The following is a 19,693-nucleotide window of genomic DNA, read 5'->3' as shown; positions in this document are numbered from 1 at the left end:
AGAAAATGTTATTTTGAATGCTAATGTCCAAAAAAAAAAAAGAAAATGAAAATTCTATATGGATTAACTTAGAGGAAAAAAAAAAAGTAGGCTTTCAAATTTTCTCCAACATCTGCTTTGTCTTAACTGCCCGGTAAAGACATATCTTTTGGGTGTTTTCTTTTTTTCTATAGACAAATTAATTCATCCATCATTTGAGTGCATCTGTATGCCAGCGCAAATTAGACACAAGTCTTGTCCTCACAGATCTTCTTTCTCCTCTTACAGGGGAGGTAAGGCACAACCATAACACACAAGAGAAACCCTGTCTGAGGACAGATAACATACTGTATTGGGTGTGTGAAGGGGACGAGCCGCCTTCTCACTGGAGCAGCCGGGAACATATTAGTGACAAGCTGACTTTCAGGTCTGGATTTTGAAAGTTGGACATACTGTAGGCATGGGAAGATGAGGGGGAAAGACATATCAGGCCTGAGGAATAGCATACCTGTACAAAAAGTGGGAAGAATGAGCTGTGTTTGTAGAGCAGGGAATTGTTTGGCCTGGTGGGAATAAATTCAGAAAGGTAGGTGATCAAGAAGGGCGTTTGAGACCTTTGGGTGATAGAGATTCAGTGTAAGTTTTCAAGCAAGAGTGATAATGTGAGTAAAGCTGTACTCCAGAAAGCTAGCTGTGGTTTGAAAAGGGAGCTACTGGAGGCTGTAAGTCAAGCATTCAGTTCCTGAGTGGAGGCAGAAATAGAGAAGAAAATTCAAACAGTGGTAGAATGAGGTGAATTTAAACAGGAAACCAATGTGGTTCTGATTGTACTTCACTTAGGTAACTTTTTCATTAAGAAAGAATTCTGGCTACCTATTCTCATATGTTAATAATAGAGGTCTTGGCCGGGTGCAGTGGCTAACATCTGTAATCCCAGCACTTTGGGAGGCTGAGGTGGGTGGATCACGAGGTCAGGAGTTCGAGACCAGCCTGACCAACATGGTGAAACCCCATCTCTACTAAAAATACGAAAATAAGCTGGGCATGGTGGTGCGCACCTGTAATCCCAGCTACTCAAGAGGCTGAGGCAGGAGAATCACTTGAATCCAGGAGGCGGAGGTTGCAATGAGCCGAGATTGCACCACTGCACTCCAGCCTGGGCGACAGAGTGAGACTCCGTCTCAAAAAAAAAAACAAAACAAAAACAACAACAACAACAAATAATAGATGTCTCCGGGAAAGTATCATATATGTTTGAATATAATGTGTGTGACACCTAAAATTATTTCTACTGTATGAAGAAAATCAGTACTTTGGGAGAAACAGGTAAAAATGAAAATGTAATTCAGCATCAGTTTGAGTTTCACTGTGAGCCTCAGTCCAGGTTTTAGAAAGAAAGGTACGTAGACACAATTCTGGCTTTAAATAGTTCACAATGTGGCAAAAGAAACTTCATTAATTTCTTAAGATTAATGATAAATACAGTTTCTTTGGGCAGATTGACTCTAAATATTGAGTTCAAGGGGGTTAATTACAGTATAAAAGGGTTTCTAGCTGTTGAAAAGGTTGGGAGCTACTGAATTAGGCCTCCAGATCCTGTGGCCTACCTGTTATACCTCAAAGCCTCAATTTTCAGCCGCTTCCTTAGCCTTTCTCAACCAGGGCTGTGAGACAGTTAAGCTCTAAGGAAAATTGTTTGAGTAACTAATATCAGTTCTCCCAAGGACTGTATTTAGGTATTCTTTACCTACCATGGATGTGTTAGGGCCAGACTCTCTTGGAAGGATGCTTCTCTTCTGTTCTCTTCCCTTGCCCTCTCCCTCTCTTTATGCTTCTGTTTTGTGATCCCCCATTTACACACAGGAACAACCTCAAAGTTCTGGGTTGGAATTGGGACCAGAAAATGACTATAGCTTTATCTTCTAATATTTGTGTTGATTAATGCTTGAAATTATATCTAATAATTCATAGTCACTAAAAAGAAAATTTGAGTGAATATTTGATAGTAGCTTATCCTCTTAAAGTTTACAGACCTCAGGCCAGGCTGATTCTCATTAGGGCCAGGCATGCTGGCTCAGGCCTGTAATCTCAGTGCTTTGGGAAGATCTCTTGAGGTCAGGAGTTTCAGACCAGCCTGGGCAACATAGTGAGAGCCTGTCTTTAAAAATACATATATTAAAAATTAGGTGGGCATGATGGCGTACATCTATAGCCCTAGCTTCTTGGGAGGCTGAGGCAGGAGGATCACTTGAGCCTGGGAGTTTGAGTTTACAGTGAGCTATGATCACGCCACTGCACCACTCCAGCCTGGGCTACAGTGAGGCCCTGTGTCTTTAAAAAAAAAAAAAAAAAAAAAAAAAAAGTTTACAGATGTCCTAATCATTAGAGCTAATAAGGCCTAAATTACTATGTACTTGCTGGTTCTCCATGTTTTAATTTTCCTTTGGGCTAAATCAGGTGTAAAATTGGGAATCTTGAATTTAAACCTCTAACTCAGGGATTCAAAAAGTGTGGTCCATGGCAACTCTTGAGGGTCCCCTTCTGGACCGTTTCAAGGATCTTCTTCATTATACTTCAGCCAGAACAGCATGCCACAGCACACTGAATACAAAAGCAATTGAAATAATCTAGCTGTCTGGATTATTATTTAATATTTAGTGTTAAATGCTAAAGAGATTTGTAAAACCATGGCATTCTAATCACTTAATATTTTTGTTCTGAGAAATAGTTATTTTTCATTAAAATGTTATTTTAAATATAACTGCTTTTTAGTTGTTTTAAAAGTGAATTCCTAAAAGTTAAAACATGTAATTTAGTTATTTAGTACAGTAAATAATGATAGATGTAACCCACATAAGCAAAAGCTCTTTAGGGTCTTTAATAATTGTTAGGAATATAAGTGGATCCTAGGAACAAGATCTTTGAAAACTACTGCCATAACTTAGGAGGGACAGCTGTTCACTAAGAATGGGATTTCTATAGTCTTTTTATCTTTTCCAAACAGCCTAGCAAAGCAAAAAAATCTTAAAGGCCGTGTGTCAGATGGGCTTGATTATTCCATATTTTCTGTCTCTTCAATGTAGATGGACATGCCTAGCTTTGCCTGTAACAGAGAACTCTTTCTTCCTGTCTTTTTCCTTTCTGTATTTCATCTTCTCTCCTCCCCCATGAGGACATTATGGAGGGCTGGCCAGAAGTGGGACTTTGCAAGTCACAGAAGTGGCAAAAATTATTCCTAATTGCTGTTATCATCTGTCAATGAAAGGGAAAATGTAGGTCTGATGGCCTTTTTGATGCTTAATATATAAAAATTGCCCAGCAATTAGCTTTGTAACCACCATCTATTTAATAGCAGTAACTGTTGTTACTAGCTGTTTCTAGCTCTGTCTCAGTCAGTACATTTGTGATTTTTCTTTTTGTGATTTTTTTTGTGATTTTTTCATAATTATATCTGAATTACATATTCATATATGTGGATTTATAAATTGTTCATACTAAATTACAATAAATACATTTTAATATATTAACTTCTATGACTTTTAAGTTCTTGTTCACTAACTGTCTGGGAAAGCTGCTTTAGCTTATGAAGCCTCATTTTTCATGAGCGCAGCTTTTAGTCTTACGTTGTGGGACTTAAGACATCTTGTCCTGCCCCAAGGTGGGAATGATTAAATGGCTAAAAAGAGGCAGATACTATTTTTGTGATAAATATGGGTTTCATGTCTCATAGCAAGTTATTTTAGCCTGGAGTTTGTTGTCATACAGACACTATATTCTGTCTGCCTTTCATTCCCTTTTCTCTACTTCCTTGTTTCTCTGGCAGTTAGGCACCTTATAATCTATTGTCTGATGCATGTCCAGCTAGTGACTTCAGTTCTTCCAGGCTTATTTTACAATAGGCTTGATCTTTATTCAGTGGTGCTACAATGACCTGAGGATGTCATCTGTGATTATTTGCATGCTTTCTTACATGAGGATAGTAATTTGCATGTAATTACTTTATCTTTATTCATGAATTTTTATCCTTTATTGCTCATAAATTGAAGAAGCATTTTGCTGGATGTTAAATAGTCAAAAATTGTGATACCTCTGTGTGGAACATTTTCCTCTTAAAACAAGAATAAAGAGAGGCTTTAATAGTCTGTCTTGTTTTCCACTGATGATAAGAGATGAATTGCAGGAACCACTTCCACTCTGATGAGACCATTCACAACACACAGCAGCAGCCAAACCTGTTCCACGATTTTTACAGCTTAATCTCGGCTGTGCTTTCGTGCATTTGGAAGCGTGATGGTGCCCTGTCAGGTCGCCCATGTGCATATTTTGGGGCATTGCCTCTGAGTTAACATTGGGCATTCCTGTTTTCATAATCTAGGTAAGGTAGAAAAATTCTAAGGAGTCTTTTGAAGATGGTGTTGAATAGCAGTATCTTTGAAGTTAGTTGGTATTTCATATATGAAAAATATTGTGACATTATTTCATTAATACATAAAAAATTCCTAAGGGGTAGATGCTGTTCTAATCTAAGAGAAGAAATGCTGTAGTTAACTGGAATTATTTGTATTCCTGTTAAGGTACTATGTTACATGAGATGAGAGAAACAAATAATTCAAAATTTTTGGTCTTAAGGAGGCTGTTAATTGTGTAGATAGTATAAGTCATGGTCAAAAATATCCACAAGGCAGTGTAAGTAACATGAATGGTGCAGAATGGTAGTTAGGAAACAAATATAGAATGCTACTCATGTAAAGGTACCAAAAATAATTCTTACAAGGTAGACCTGCTATTTATGTGAGCTTTTGTAATTTCTGAAATGATTCACATGAGAAAACAAATGACTTCTGTGTTCTGGAAAATTTCAAGAGTATTTGGCTATTACATTGTCATTCATGTAGGAAGAAATACATTTTTTATGAAGGAGTTTATTTTGCAAATATTATCCTGCTCTTTGCTGTGGTAATATTGTAACAAAGAGAATTCCTTTTCCTATTCAGAAATACTCACTGGTTTCCCATTGATTTAAAGTTTTCCTCAAGCCTTGAAATCAGTCCCACTTTGAAGACTGGATGAATGATATGGGTGCCTAGGAAATGTGTCTCCAGTCTCTTCTGCAGATAACTAATGGAATTAGCCTTATATTGCTAGGAAGATGGTAGAGTGGGTTTTTGCATAACTATTGTAGTATGCAGCAATAACCCTGCAATGGCTTCCTATCAATCTTAGAATAAAGTACAGAACTTTTTTTTTTTTTTTTAAGAGAGAGTCTTGCTCTGTTGCCCAATCTGGAGTGCAGTGGTGCGATCATAACTCACTGTAACCTCGAATTCCTGCACTCAAAGGATCCTCCTGCCTCAGCCTCCTGAGTAGCTGGGACTACAGGTGCATGCCACCACACCCAGCTCATTTTTAATTTTTTTGTAGAGATGAGGCCTTGCTACTACATTGCTCAGGCTGCTCTTGAACTCCTGGCCTCAATGTCCTGCCTCAGTCTCCCAAAGTGTTGGGATTACAGGCATGAGCCACTGCTCCTGGCCATCTTTAATTCTATTTAGTAAATCCCATGTGAGACAAACCCAGTTTATTTAATTTTTATGTATTCAACCAAACTATTTTAATAGAATTTTACATATTTTTGAATTTCAAAAAGTAAATGTGGACAATTTTGTCATTTAAATATTAGCTGTCTTGTGTTGTTTTAGATAGAGGTTGCTTCTTGGTAAGCAGCTTCTTGAAATACCAGGAATTGTCACGCAGAGAGATAGAGAAGGCAAGGGCAATAGGATTCCCATGGAAAAGGGAGACAGCTGTCTTTGTTTAACTAGGACAGTCCTGGTTTTTGATGAACCATCCTGAATGGATATGTACTGAGAGAGTCATGACCTAAAAAATGCCTTTGGGTTTGATTCCTCCTGGAAAGTAGTGTGATGGCAGAACAGCCACTGTATGCCTTCTCTCAACCAGCTCTGGTGTTTGGAAAAGGGTATTCAGGTCCTGGCTTTGCAGTCTTTCCAAACATTTGGGGTCATGTTGGCGTTATTCATAGAGTCACTTCATTCTTTATGTCCAGTTCTCTTGTTAGAAACTAGAGCTAGGCTAGGCGCAGTGGCTCATGCCTGTAATCCCAGCAGTTCAGGAGGCCAAGGTGAAAGGATCACTTGAGGTCAAGATTTTAAGACCAGCTTGGGCAACATAGTGAGGCCTTGTCTCTTCCAAAAAATTAAAAAGTTAGCTGGTTGTGGTGGTATGCACCTGTAGTCCCAGATACTCAAGAGACTGAGGTGGGAGGGTCACTTGAGCCTGGGAGTTTGAGGTTCCACTTCACTGGAACTCACCATTGCACTTCAGTCTGGGCAATCAAAGTAAGACCCTGCCTCAAAACAAAACAAAAAACAAACTAGAGCCAGTTAGAGCTCTGTCCATCTAGAACCACTCTTGTTAACAGAACTGTAATTTCCACAGCATTTTGTTTTTCAAGTGAGAATAAGTTCTTCTGATGATAAAGTCGTGTGCTATTTATAAAAATTTAAGCAGTATAGGAAGCATGAAGAAGAAAATAAAAATACCGAAAATTCCACCAATCACCTCTAATACTTTTCAAAATGGAAAAAGCAGTAGGCATTGGGATATTTTTAAACTTTGTGTTATAAACAATTGTGAGATGAAGAACAGATGCACAGCATGGCACTTGTTATTTTCCGTAACAGCTTTATCGAGCTTTACTTCACATACCATACGGTTTACCCATTTAAAGGGTACAATTCAGTGGTTTTAGTATATTCACAGGGTTGTGCAACCTTTGCCACAATTTTAGAACATTTTGGGTTTTTTTTTTGTTTTTGAGACTGAGTCTCACTCTGTCGCCCGGGCTGGAGTACAGTGGCGCGATCTTGGCTCACTGCAACCTCCGCCTCCCGGGTTCAAGCAATTCTCCTGCCTCAGCCTCCTGAGTAGCTGGGATTACAGGCACATGCCACCAACGCCTGGCTAATTTTTTGTATTTTTAGTAGAGACGGAGTTTCACCGTGTTAGCCAGGATGGTCTTGATCTCCTGACCACGTGATCCGCACGCCTTGGCCTCCCAAAGTGCTGGGATTACAGGCATGAGCCACCGTGCCCGGCCAATTTTAGAACATTTTTAACCACACCAGAAAGAAACCCTCTACCCTTAAGTCATTGTCCCTTTACCCCAATTCCTCCATACCTCCCAGCATCTGGCAACTACTAACATAATTTCTATCACTGAAGATTTGCCAGTTCTTGACGTTTTATATAAATGGAATCATAAAATATGTGGGGTTTTTTTTGTGACTGGCTTTCAATTAGTGTACTGTTTTCAGGGCTCATACATCTTGTAGCATTTATCATGCATGGCATTTTGAAAAGCAAATCTTAGTTAAAAAACATGTATTTATGTATCTAGGCATGCTTTCTTAGTTTTAGTTACTGGCTCTTATTTTAATTGTGTGAGTGTGGTGTATAGTGAAAAGTAATGGCTAAATCTTAAGAATTTTTAAAGCAAAGATTAAAATCAAAGCAAGAAGCCTTCCTCAGATTCTTTAGTTTTTTTTTTTTTTTTAAATAAACGTTTTAAAACTTGGTAAATTATGTAAAGGAGAACTGTGTAGCATTTTCAATGCCAGATTGAATGTAAACAGGGATGAATTCTTGACCAAATTGTGGAAATGTCTGAGGTTTATTCTCTTGGTCCAGGCTCAGTTTTCTTGCCCAGAATTGCCCTATCTTCACTGCCTTCATTTTTTCCCCACCCCTAAGTATGTTACTGTAGTTATCAGAAACCTCATGCCTTTGTATTTCTCTTAATTCTTTTTTTCTCCTATAAAAGTGGGAGAAAACAGACATGGTCTTTGAAAGTCTTTTTAAATTACTTATAAAGAGTAAAAACACCTATCTTGGTTAAAGGAGATTCAGTTTTTTACATGTGGATAAGAGAGTGAAATTGTGTTTCCTTAAAATGATGTGAGGTATCCTCTTATCTTGAACGCTATGGAATTGGGTGCCTTTATCATTTTCCCCTGAAACTTCCAGCTTTTAGGCTATTCCAGGTTTATTTTCTCTCTGTTGCCCACTCGCATCCAGAGTGAAAGAAACGAAAACAAACCCTCTTTCTTTTGTACCCAAATATAAGTTTGAACCTTTTTGCTTAATTTTAATATCATTCTAAAACTTTTCTCCCGAGAGTCTTTAGACAGATTTCTCATATTTCCTAGGAAATCTGATATTATCTAATTTTATATTTATACTTCTCTCCTTTCAAATCTCTTGAAGTGGCTAATCAGAAAAAAGCATATACAATAAAACCTGAAGTAGGAAGTGAGATTCCAAGTGAAAGAAGAACTAATTATTTTAGTTTTCTGAGGGCTAATAGTAACTCTGAGTGTTGACTGCCAGAAAGTTCTAGTTGGTACAAAAAGAGGCACGCCAGTTGAGCAAGAGAATAATATTAGAAGTAGAAGGCACATGCATGTTTCAGAAAGGCTCTGCAGAGGAAAGGTGATACAGCATATTTGAGAAATTGAGAGACCGGTGTACCTAGAGCCTAGAGAGCAATAGAGTAGGAATTGGATGAGATACGTGGCAATCACATCATGGGGGGCAAGCACTGGATTTTGGTATTTATCTTAAGAGCAGTGGGCAGCAATTGAAGAGCTTTTACTAAGAGCGATGATTTGGGTTAATTATTAAAGTATCACTGGCTACTGTGGGGAAGGGGACAGATACCACGATTGGAATGGGCAACTTAATTAGATGATGCTAATGTAATTGTCTAGGTTGGTGGTCTCTCAGTTTTTGAGCTTATCCCCTCATACATGTGTGTTTATCATTTATATATATGTACTTTGTTGTTGACAAGTTGAGTACATTATAAGACGTTAAAAAACAGTAAAATGGATGAGAAAAATTAATGAATGGAAGTGCTACTATTTTTTTCCCTGCCCCAACTGATGTATGTTAAGCTTCTGGGATACTTGTTGCCCCACCCTGAACATGACTAAGCAAGGGATCATGGAACAAGAACAGTAGCAATGGAGAGAGTTTGGAGAGAGAAATTAGGAGGTTGCATTAACAGGACTTGAAAATTGGTTAAATAGGAGTAAAAGAAAAGGTAGTGGATTTCTGGTTTGTGTAACTGAACAGATAAGAGCTCTGATTAAAGAGTCAACCAACACTCTGATAGATGCTAATTGTGTTAAAGTAGCATTCTGCCAGAATGTGGTGGTTTCTCTGAGCATATACTCAATAATGCCCTTAGTAACAAATGGTAGGAGGGCATTTGATGGGCAAGTCTTGATCTGTGTTCAGGAAGAGGAAGCAGAGCAATGAACCTGAGGACACAGGTTACTCTTGCCTTTGGAGGCATTAGGGTATGACAGCATTGGTAAATGATAGGCCCCTCAACTTCCAGTTGCCTCTTCAAGTGTCTTTAGCTAGAGGCAGGGCCATTCATTTCACGACTAAAAATAAACGGCTTACAAAACATGGTGGACTGAGGAACATATTAAGACTATTGCCAGTGCAGACAAATAATTTTTCAGCAAGTTATCAACTGATAGAAGTGATTTTCATATTGGCTTAGAAGGGAATAAAATGCATTCGGGTCATAAGTTGGGAGAGGATTGCAAGAAATAAAGGATGGGAAAAAAACCCAATCATATATACAGTTTTGCCTTAAGGTTGAGTGAAAAAAAAAAGGCGGGGGGGAAGATGTTTATGATGGTACATTTTCATGTGTAGCTATATATGCACGATGCTCCATTTCCTGAGATATAGAAAAGTTTTTTTATCACATTTTAAAACAAAATTTGAAATAATATTTTTGAAAATGTTTCAAAATGCCACTTTAAAAATGCATTGCTTTGAATAAAATTTACTGTTTGTAATCCTTATGCCTCCTAGCACAGTGCCCTGCAATGTGGTAACTTTTTTTTTTAATGCAGCAACTGTACCACTGCAGTATCTGCCTCCCTTCTATTCTAGATACCTTTGAGCAAACGTAAACTCATTTGCTTTCATTCTGTCTCAAAAATGTATTGCGTAGAACTTTGCAATCATGAGAGAAATACCTGGGGACATTACTGATGGTCCGAAGTGTGAACACCACTAATTTAGATGCTGATGTTGTGATCACTCACCCAGTCAACTGACCAGCCTTCCAGAGAATGCAAATCAGATTCAAGCCAGTCTTTAAGCAAACATCTCATTTAATCGTAAGAAACAATGCTGAGATGGGTCATATCCACATTATCAATTGCCTTGGGACTAATTGCTAATAGGAGAAACTGCTGGTTGTGAAAATCATGAATGCAGAGTCTACTGTAGTAATTATATACAGTAATAAAATACAGTCATGCCAATCAAATCTAAACAGCCTGTCGTTTTCCACTACTGCTAACTTACCCAGCGTTTCTACATTTCCCTGCTTGTACAAAACGCCTAATGGTAAAGTATGTTAAAGGCAGGGGTAAGCCTGAAGGATGGCTGTTTGACAACTGCATTAGCGATAAAGGGACAGCCGTGAAAAAAAAAAAAAAGTCAATAGGCCTAACTTAAAGAGAAATGTCCTTTCATAGGTAAAACGTAAGGTTTATGTAACATCAGTGCTAGTGTTAAAAAGTATGCTGAAAACATCGTATTACTGAATTTACTCAACCTGGACAATAAGTGTTCTTTCCCTTATTCTGCTCTGTTGCCCTGACTGAATGAAGAAAGAGTTAATGGTATCAGTATTAAGCAGGAAGTTCTGTTAGGCTTATGCATATGATGGCATGAATAATTTAGCATCTTCAGGAAATGCAAACTGCAGTAGAATTTAAGCAACCTATCAGAATTTAGATCAATATTTTACATGATAGTATGAAATTAAAGTCAGTGGAAAGAAGATGCTTAAAGATACCAAGTGAAGAATGTTAATAGTTTAAACTGTGAGAAAGACTGGGAATTTTTTATTGGAAATGTTTTGTCTTACGCAGCAATAATGGTTTACCTGCATTCTGACACTTGTCAGATGACTTTTTGCCAACATGATTGGTAATGGGATGTGGCAGTATCTTTGCTGTCAAAGAAGAGATAATTTCTCAGGTTTTTCTTGTAAGTTTTAAAAATTGTCCTTATGGGTTTTTTTTTCTCTTTAAATATGGAATAAAGGAACTGAAGGGTAAAACCTGAAGACTAGTCATGTTTCTTTAATAAAGGTTTTATAGAAGTAGCCATTTGCAAACGTCGGTAAGACAGATTTTTAAAAAAACAGTTTAAACTTATAATTATTGAAAATATTCTAAATTGTTTATCTCCTGTGGAATGATCTCATTAGCTTGGTAGACATTTTATGTGTACGCCTGTGGTCTTTCTATATCTTATGTCATTACTGTAAATAAATATTGTGCATGCAACTTTAATAGATTGGGTGGTTGGAAGTACTTAGCAAAGGTGACATTTATCAATCTTATTTTGTGTTTGCAAAAAAAATACAGTGTATGTAATATTTTCAAAGCAAGACAATTGGATTATGTTAAATAATTTCTAAAAATGATGAAAAATTCTCTTTTATTTAAGACATTACCATTTTTAGATGTGTGTTATTTAATTATAAATTGGTTTGGTTCTGATTTTTCTAAAACTTTTAGTTAGCATGAGTTGTATGTTTTAAATAATAACAGTCTTAGGGGAGATCTAAAACACTGTCTTGTTTGCCTTTATGTGGGCTTTCCTAAGCCCCAGTGCATTTTAACCACTAATTGTTTCTTGGTTAATACCAACGGAAAAAGAAAATCTTTCCCATGCTGAAAATAATTTCTTCAGGATTTTACAGAAAATTATTGATGTAAAGTTTTGGATGTCACTAAAGTAATAGTAAAAAAAAAAATTTACTTTTGTTTGTCTCATCTCAATTTTGAGTGTCACTTTGATTTCATATAAACCCTTCCCCTTTTCATAGATCATCACCTTCTCATTGAGTTTTTTCTCCTAAAGAGAATTTACTTCATTGACACTTAAGCTAAAATTTAATGTAAATAGCCTAAATAAATGGCTGTTTGATCTGGCCACACATTTTTAATAAGACATTTTGTCAAGTATGTATATATATATTGAGAAAAAAAATAGTAACATGTGGCTTGGTAAAAAATGAATAGCTGACTTTTAGCAAACCAAAGATATTCTTATTTTGTATCAGTGAATATAAAACTCTTTATTGCAGTGTGCCGTTTATAATGGCTTTGGTCTCTTTCCAACTAGTAGGAATGAGTTAATCTTAAGCACTTCCAAGCTTAAATTTTTTTCAGATTCAATTCTCCTAAATGAGAATATAGATCTTGTGAAATTAACACTAATAGCCACAGATCTTGGCTTCCTCTACCTTATCTTCATTGACTTTAAAAATATATAACCCTAAAATGCTGGTTGCACTCTTTGACCGTATAACTTAGGAAATAACTAAGTTATAAGTGCATCATTTGATCTATGGCTGCTTACAGGGTTTTTCCACCAAAAAACGATTGCATAAATTTTTTTAAGAGCCTATGTTAAAGAGGATGCGTTTTTATTAAATTACAGAGCTTCCAGGATGAGGATCTAGATAGGACGTATGTATAAATACATTTTGAACATTTCAAAGCACCTTTTAGTTTATGTGAAGTTCTTCAGATGGCCCCGTTGTCCTTCGAAGCTTCTAACACCAAGGTGTCTGTTGCAGCCCAGAGCAAGGTTACTGCTACCCAGGACAGCACTAATTTGCGATGTATTTTCTGTGGTAAGCAACATTATGTTTACATTACTTTTTCAAGCTGTGGTACATGCTACTTGCGCATTTCCATAACTTTTGTTTTCTTAGGCCATAGTCTGGTTTGTGATATTTGGGATATATAGCAAGCTATTGTTTTTATGTTGTGATATTTGTTGTGGTTCATGTAGGTGATTTGGTCAGCTTTGAGTTGGCTTGTTAGCGAGCATTAGAATTAGTTAGAATTAGGATCTTAAAACACTTCTTGTCCACCTCTTCCAACACAAATGAGAGGGGTTTTTGTTTGTTTGTACTTTTTTGTTTTTAATTATTTTGTTTGGGAGCAAATTTTTGATTTAGAATTTAAGGAAAAAATTTATGTCCATCTTAATATGATTTGAGGAACGTAAATGTGCCTTGTGCAAAGGAAACTTTTGCTTAACTTGAATTAATTTTAGGTGTGCATGTTGTGAGGCAGATGTAAGCTATTACTTGCTTTAATAGGTTGATTTCTGATTGACAGCCTCCTTTATTCAGTAGGTTAGAAATCTGTGACTTAAGAGTGAATTTAGGCTTATTGAGTGTTTTCTTTCACTCTCACTCTCATATACACATGTGTGCACATATATGTATTGTTTGCATGGACAAACCAGGTATGTCACTTAGCCACCCCAAATTAGAGAGAATAAGATATATATCTAAGGATACGTATCTATCTATAAACACAGATAGATACATATCCTTGTCTAAATTCTTTTTATTTCCATTTGTTTCTGAAACTTTGTTTTAAAAACCCAAGTTCCAAAGAGTTACTTTTAATTACTTGAGCTTTGAAAAGAAACCTCATATATGCCTTTTTGATTCATGTGTACCTTGCTAGCCAGATTATTTTATGAGAGAGATAAAGTTATTAAATGATATACAGTATTGCTCCAATTTTACATAAAGTGTTCAGCTCTGTGTATGTACTTTATGTGACTCAGAATTTTTAATGTGACTCCTCAATACTAATGATACTGTTTTTTTTTACCTATGAAGAGAATTATTTTAAAATGTATGTACTTTCTGGTTTAGGCAAAGAAGTACGTGTTGCAAATTTCTTTAAAATAAAAAAAAGAAAAAAGGAAAGAAAAGAAAAGGCTAATGTATTTGTTAGTCACTTAAAGTTATATTTTAGGATTGTTCCAGAGGACACAGTTACAGCAGTGAGCCTATTGTGTGGCTGTTCATAAATCCCTCCTCTCCCTCCCAGATCCCACAATGAAACACTGCAGATTAAGTGTGTAATCAGTAACTTTTTCTCCTCATTTTTCTGCCTCCTCCTGGGGGTTTTTCCGGGCTATCTTTTGAACTAGTCATGAGTGATTATTGATATTTGTGTTATTAGGACTCTCTTTAGCTCATTTTGAAAACCCATCCAATGTTGTATGCCTTTCTATTTAATATGTTGAGGTCCATACGCAGAATAATGGATACTTTACCCAATTGCAGAGAAAATATTGATTTGACCTAAGTGAAGGTGAATCTTTAAAGTTGTAAAATAATGTGTTAAAAAGTAGATTTCCCCCCATTATTACCTTTAATTTAACTGTGTGCAAACAATATAATTAACACGTTGCTAAGTTTAAACTTGATTGTATTGTGTATATAATAACACCGATTTGTCTTTTAGTCCTGTGTTTTTAAATAGTCTGTGGCTAATTGTGAAAATAGATTTGTGAAAATTAAAATGTGACAGTAAGTGGAATGTGCTTTAACCAAAACTCAATATTGAAGGCAAGACTGACATACAGTTCCTATTATAGAGTCTCCTGATCTGATTTTAATCATTTATAGGGTACTGTATCAGTGACATTGCCACATTTCTCTGTTACAAACAGTAACTCACAGACTTTGCTATATACCTTCTTCTTGTAGCCAGGACAAATTAAGATCAGCCACTATCTTTGGCTGTGAGGGAGAGAACAAACTCTCAAACAGCTGCTATTCTTTATGATAACATAGAAAGAGCAAAGCAGGTTCACTAGTTTCTTAACCTTGGTTGTTCTTCCCTCTTTTTCCCCTCCCCAAAGGGCTGTTAACCACCACATGATGCTCATAAAATATTGTCATTTTCCCACTGAAATGGTTATGAAAGTACCTATTTTGCATTTTATGAGAACACACTCATTTAGGAATGTGACCTGTGTAAAGTAATGTTTATATTCCTGAACATACAGCGGCAGCTGACAGACTTTGCCTGATCCTAGTTGCTGCTTCATGTCATGTGGGGTGCCTTTGGTATTACTTACCAATTTTATAGCCCATTAGAATGTTTGACAAGAAGGAAAAATGTAATTGTGTACCTTAAATTTATATTTACCTGGAACTTTTAATGTTTATAGTATGTTTGTATTAATTTTTAAATGCACATAAATTTCAATGTGCTAGTTACTGCAACCTGACAATTTGAAGAAGAAACAAACAGAACAACCAGATTAAATGTAGATGTGAAAAAGTGCCAAAGGGAGTGATTCCATGCACGGACACACACACACACCCAATTTAAAGGATGTCTGGAAAGACAAAAAGCCCAAAAATCCATTATCATCACAAAGAACCATGTAGAAAAGAATTGTTAAGAGTTGTTCTAGGATCAAAATTCTCCCCATTTTAAAAGGAACTTCCTTGAAGCTTTTCATCTCAGCTGCAGGAATAAACTGTAGTAAATTTTTTTTATAATTATGATAACAGCCACAAAATATTACCCACATTTTAAAAATCTCCTTTCTGAACAGATTTGCTTAGTAAGCTTTTAAAAAGCTTTAAAAAAATATTCCAAAGCAGGTTCTGTAAATTGCTAAAAGATTTTCTTTTCTCAGCTTTTGTGAGTTACATTAAACTTGTGTTAGTTTTTTAAAAACCTGTTAAATAAAATAAATAGGATTGAGTTGAAATTTTGACGTCTTTTTTGAATCTATATATTTGAATTAAAACTGAGATTTTAATTGGCAAATTTAATCCATTAATATTACCTTTGATATATAACACCTGTCCTAGGTGTGTGACTGGTATAATTGCATTCTTCTTTGAGGTAGATGCCAAACAGGTCTAACCTACTCACATTCAGCTGTTTCATTATTTAAGCAGCCTGAGGCTTTCAACTTAAATACTCAAGTAAACATTATTTTAAAAAATAGTTAAAACATAATGGTCTTGTGAGTTGCCCATGCTAAATGCTCACATTTAGTACTTTGGATATATAAAGTACATTCCCTAAATAATTTCATGCTACCTCAGATTTACCCGCCCCTCCCCACACTTGTGTGTCCCCAGAAGAGAGGTCTTTTCTCTGTAAAGTATTAAACATTTGTGTATAGCCTAATAGGAGAGTCTGTTTTTACATCATTATTTTAATTTCCCAAGAAAAGAATTCTAGTCTGTTTACTAGACAGCAATCATGTATTTTCATTTATACAAACATTTACGTGTGTATTTAATTTCAAAAGTTTTGTTTTTTTTTGTTATTGATTACATGGGATTAATTTTTTTTTATAATATTTATTTGGTTCTCAAAATAGCAGACTCTTAGGAAATCTAATGAAATATATCACTGCAGTTGTCATCAATTTGTCTTTAGAGGACAAATAAAGTGATTAATCTAAAAACATTTGTAAAGAGGTGAGAAAAAAAGTTAGTAGGTAAGTTCAGATCAAATTAATTCTGTTTTTCCACACTTGGGATACACCAGTACTGCATTACATCCTAATAAATCTTTACTTCCGGTTGTGAAATCTACTCCACTAGTATAAAATACTTTGCACAATTAGCCCATAGATTACAAGAATTTAGTGCACAGAAGCATTTATTTCGTAACTTATTTTCCTAAGTTGTCTACAAATCTTTCAGAATATCTGTTAGGAGCATTTGCTGGTACACTAGAATTCACAAATATATGTAGTGTGTCATTACTCATATATTCTTCTCCAAGAGTGGAAGATAACTACTGTTTCTTTACTTTCTTGTTTACTGGATTAGACTTTAAGATTGTTCTATTTTAACCCTAGGTATTATATATTAGGTCCAGTATTTATCTCATTTTGTGACAGATTTGATTTTTATATCCAATGACATTAAGATGTCCCATAATTCAGTGGCATTCTATCTAAGATGCAAAAAACAGGTCTGCATTGTACATGATATGTGGGAATGGATGGTCATTAGTGTCTCATGACAGAACCATGTTGTATGAATGCAAGTTTTTTTTTCTTCTTACCCTAAATGAAAACTTAAAATTACCTGTTACATTAAAAATTCAGTTCAGTAGGTTAATTACTATATGGAAGTTTAGCAAATGTTTGTTTTCACCAGTGCTGGAAATGCTAGGCTATTAGACAAAAATGGCAGCTTAAATTGGGCAAATTTGATAAATGCTTTAGCATACTGGAGTCTAGTAATAAGGTTCTCATGCTCTCTCTCTCTCCTGTTTTTCATTTCCAGTGTTCTATTTAGGTGAGTTTTTGAATTCTGATTTTTCATTTAAGTTCTCCCTCTCCACTTCATGAATAATTACCCCAAAGAGAATGTCTCATTGTCTTAGAAACTGTCAAGCTTAGGTGCCTCTTCAGATGCTCATCGAACACTTGTTTTACTCAAGCTCTTCATATATAAATGTTTCTTTTTCCTTATTGTTGATGTTTTCCATTTGTTTCAAGTAAGCCTTCTGGAGATGATGACAGTATTATGTTGCAGTCTTTCATTTGCTCTGTGTTATGTAAAGCTTATATTTTATTTTGCTAGACAAAAAGAAGACACGTTTGTAAATATGTGATGGTTTTATGTTATTCTCATGATTTTATCTCCTCTGTCCAGCTAGATATGAAAATAATGTTCATCTGTAATGTTTTCTCCCTCTGTAGGGCCAACATTGCCTAGACAAAACTCACAACTACCTGCTCAAGTTCAAAATGGCCCATCCCAAGAAGAATTGGAAATTCAAAGAAGGTAAATTTTCAAGTTATTGTTTGTACTTTTTCTTTATGCTTCAGAAGACAAAACTGAACATCCTGTGTTTAAAGTAGATTATGTCTTATCAGCTGTTTAAGAGTCACAACTTTTATTCTTACATTAGTAAGTTTTGTGACTGTCATTAGTAAGTTACCAGATACTTGTTATGCTGGACATGAGATGTTATAAAATTTCATATGTGTTTTTTTTTGTAAAAATTATACTTAAGGTATGTTTAAAATATTGTAAATACGCTTAACAGAATTCAAAATCTTCTTATGGTTCAAGAAGTCTTACTTTTGTAATTATAAAGTGATCTGTGAGTACTATGATTTTCATGTGACAAATTTAACTAAAAAGTTGAAATATTGTTGGCTGTTTCTGTAACACATTGATCTTCAGATATTACTATAGGGTTTAGTAGTAGAATACAAAATCATTCTCTACTGGGCAGCATTCTTCCATGACTAGGAGTTCTCTGAAAGTGGTCAGAGTACGTAGGCTGACAGGCTAACCTTTGGAGTACCAGGATGGTGAGCAGGCAGGCCTCAGAACCGCACAAACGCTGAGCTACTAAAAGTTCCACTGGAAGCCCCAACTCATCTGAGGCAGCTTGTTCAGTTTCTTTAGAGAACAGTCTTCTGTGGTAAATGCCATTCCATCCATTGAGCTGGGGTTGGGGAGGACAGGGGAGGAGCTGGTACAGCTGTTCTTCAGACAGTGTATATACTTATTAATCAGCTTGATTATTGTGGCACTGCTCATTCCCGTTCTCTCTACCTGCTGACCTCAGGTTAGATCTTTCCCAGATTCCTCTTCCCATGTCTGCTTTGACCGTCTTCAGTATGTGTTCTGGGTTATGGATGCCTCCACTGCTCCATTTATTTATGTCACAGGCATTTTTTGTTCTAAGTACTTATATTGGGAAGGGTGGGGAGAGTGGAGGGAACAAAAAGCCTGAAACTCATCAGACAATAAACATGACATGGTATAGTAGAAGATGGTAAGTGCTATGGGGAAAAATGCAACAGAGTAAGGAGGATTATATGTTGTGAAGGGGCAGAGGGAAGTGCTGGTTGTAATTTTATTTTATTTTTCCGTCCATTACTTATCAGTCTCAGTACTTGTGAGTTTAAATAGAGTGGTCAGGGTAGATCTCATTGAGATGAAAAGAAGGAATTAACCAAGCAGATACCTATGTAAGTGCATTCTGTGCAGAGGCCTTAAGGAAGGATGATGCTTGTGTGTACATGGGAAAACAAGGAGGCCGTGGAGGCTGGAGCACAAGAGAGTATTAGGAGTAGAGGTCAGATCATGCAGGACCTTGCAGGCTACTGTGAAGAATTTAACCTTTACTCTGAGAGAAAGGAGAACCATTGTACAGTTTTGAACATAGGCATGATCTGACTTAAAATTTTAGCAGAATCAGTCAGTCTGCTCTGTTGAGCCTACACTATTGAGAGACGACTTGAGGCAGGTGCAGTGTTGTGACAGCAGCTCAACAAGAAAGCCAGTTAAGAGGCTGTTGCAGTGAACTAGGCAGGAGATAATGGTGGCTTCCCCCAGGTGATAGAAGTGGTTGTTGAGAAGTCAGATCCTTATATGTCTTGGTGGATTGTATGGTGGGGATGAGGGAAGGAGAGGGGTTGAGGTTTTTAGGCTAAGCTAGTGGGAAGGATGGAGTTGCCATCAATAGTTGTGAAAGACTGCGTAGAGCAGGTCTTGTTGGGGGATGTCAAAAATGAATTTTGAGGATGTTTGGTTGAGATTTTTACTGGACATGTAAGTAGAGATGTTGAATATTAGTCTCTAGGAGACTAAGGAAGAATTCTAAACATATAACTCCTACCCTTTCTGTCTTCCGGAAATCTCATGATAAATTTGCCCTACTAATGACCACCACCTTCAGTTTTCTACTTGGTCATGGGTTTATTTATATGCATTTTAATGATGTTTCTGGAATTTTAGTAGAATTTTGGGGAAGATTACAGG

At 36.2% G+C, this 19,693-nt stretch overlaps 1 protein-coding gene across 35 annotated transcripts in view; it reads left to right on the top strand.

The window, feature by feature from the left end:
- ENAH (ENAH actin regulator) overlaps nt 1-19,693 on the top strand; it is a 167,050-nt gene that overhangs the window by 105,627 nt on the left and 41,730 nt on the right. For 18 of the 35 annotated variants that reach the window (XM_017001752.2, XM_047424938.1, XM_017001751.2 and 15 more), the window contains one exon: nt 17,614-17,698. In XM_017001752.2, coding sequence (XP_016857241.1) covers nt 17,614-17,698 — 85 coding nt within the window. Of the gene's footprint in view, nt 1-12,688; nt 12,746-17,194; nt 17,207-17,613; nt 17,699-19,693 lie in introns of all 35 variants that reach the window. The other 17 variants (XM_047424935.1, XM_017001750.2, XM_017001747.2 and 14 more) reach the window with 2 other exon arrangements.

The sequence above is a fragment of the Homo sapiens genome, chromosome 1, assembly GCF_000001405.40.
Source record: "Homo sapiens chromosome 1, GRCh38.p14 Primary Assembly".
In the NCBI taxonomy this organism is placed as follows: Eukaryota; Metazoa; Chordata; class Mammalia; order Primates; family Hominidae; genus Homo; species Homo sapiens.
This window is presented reverse-complemented; position numbering and strand designations above follow the sequence as displayed.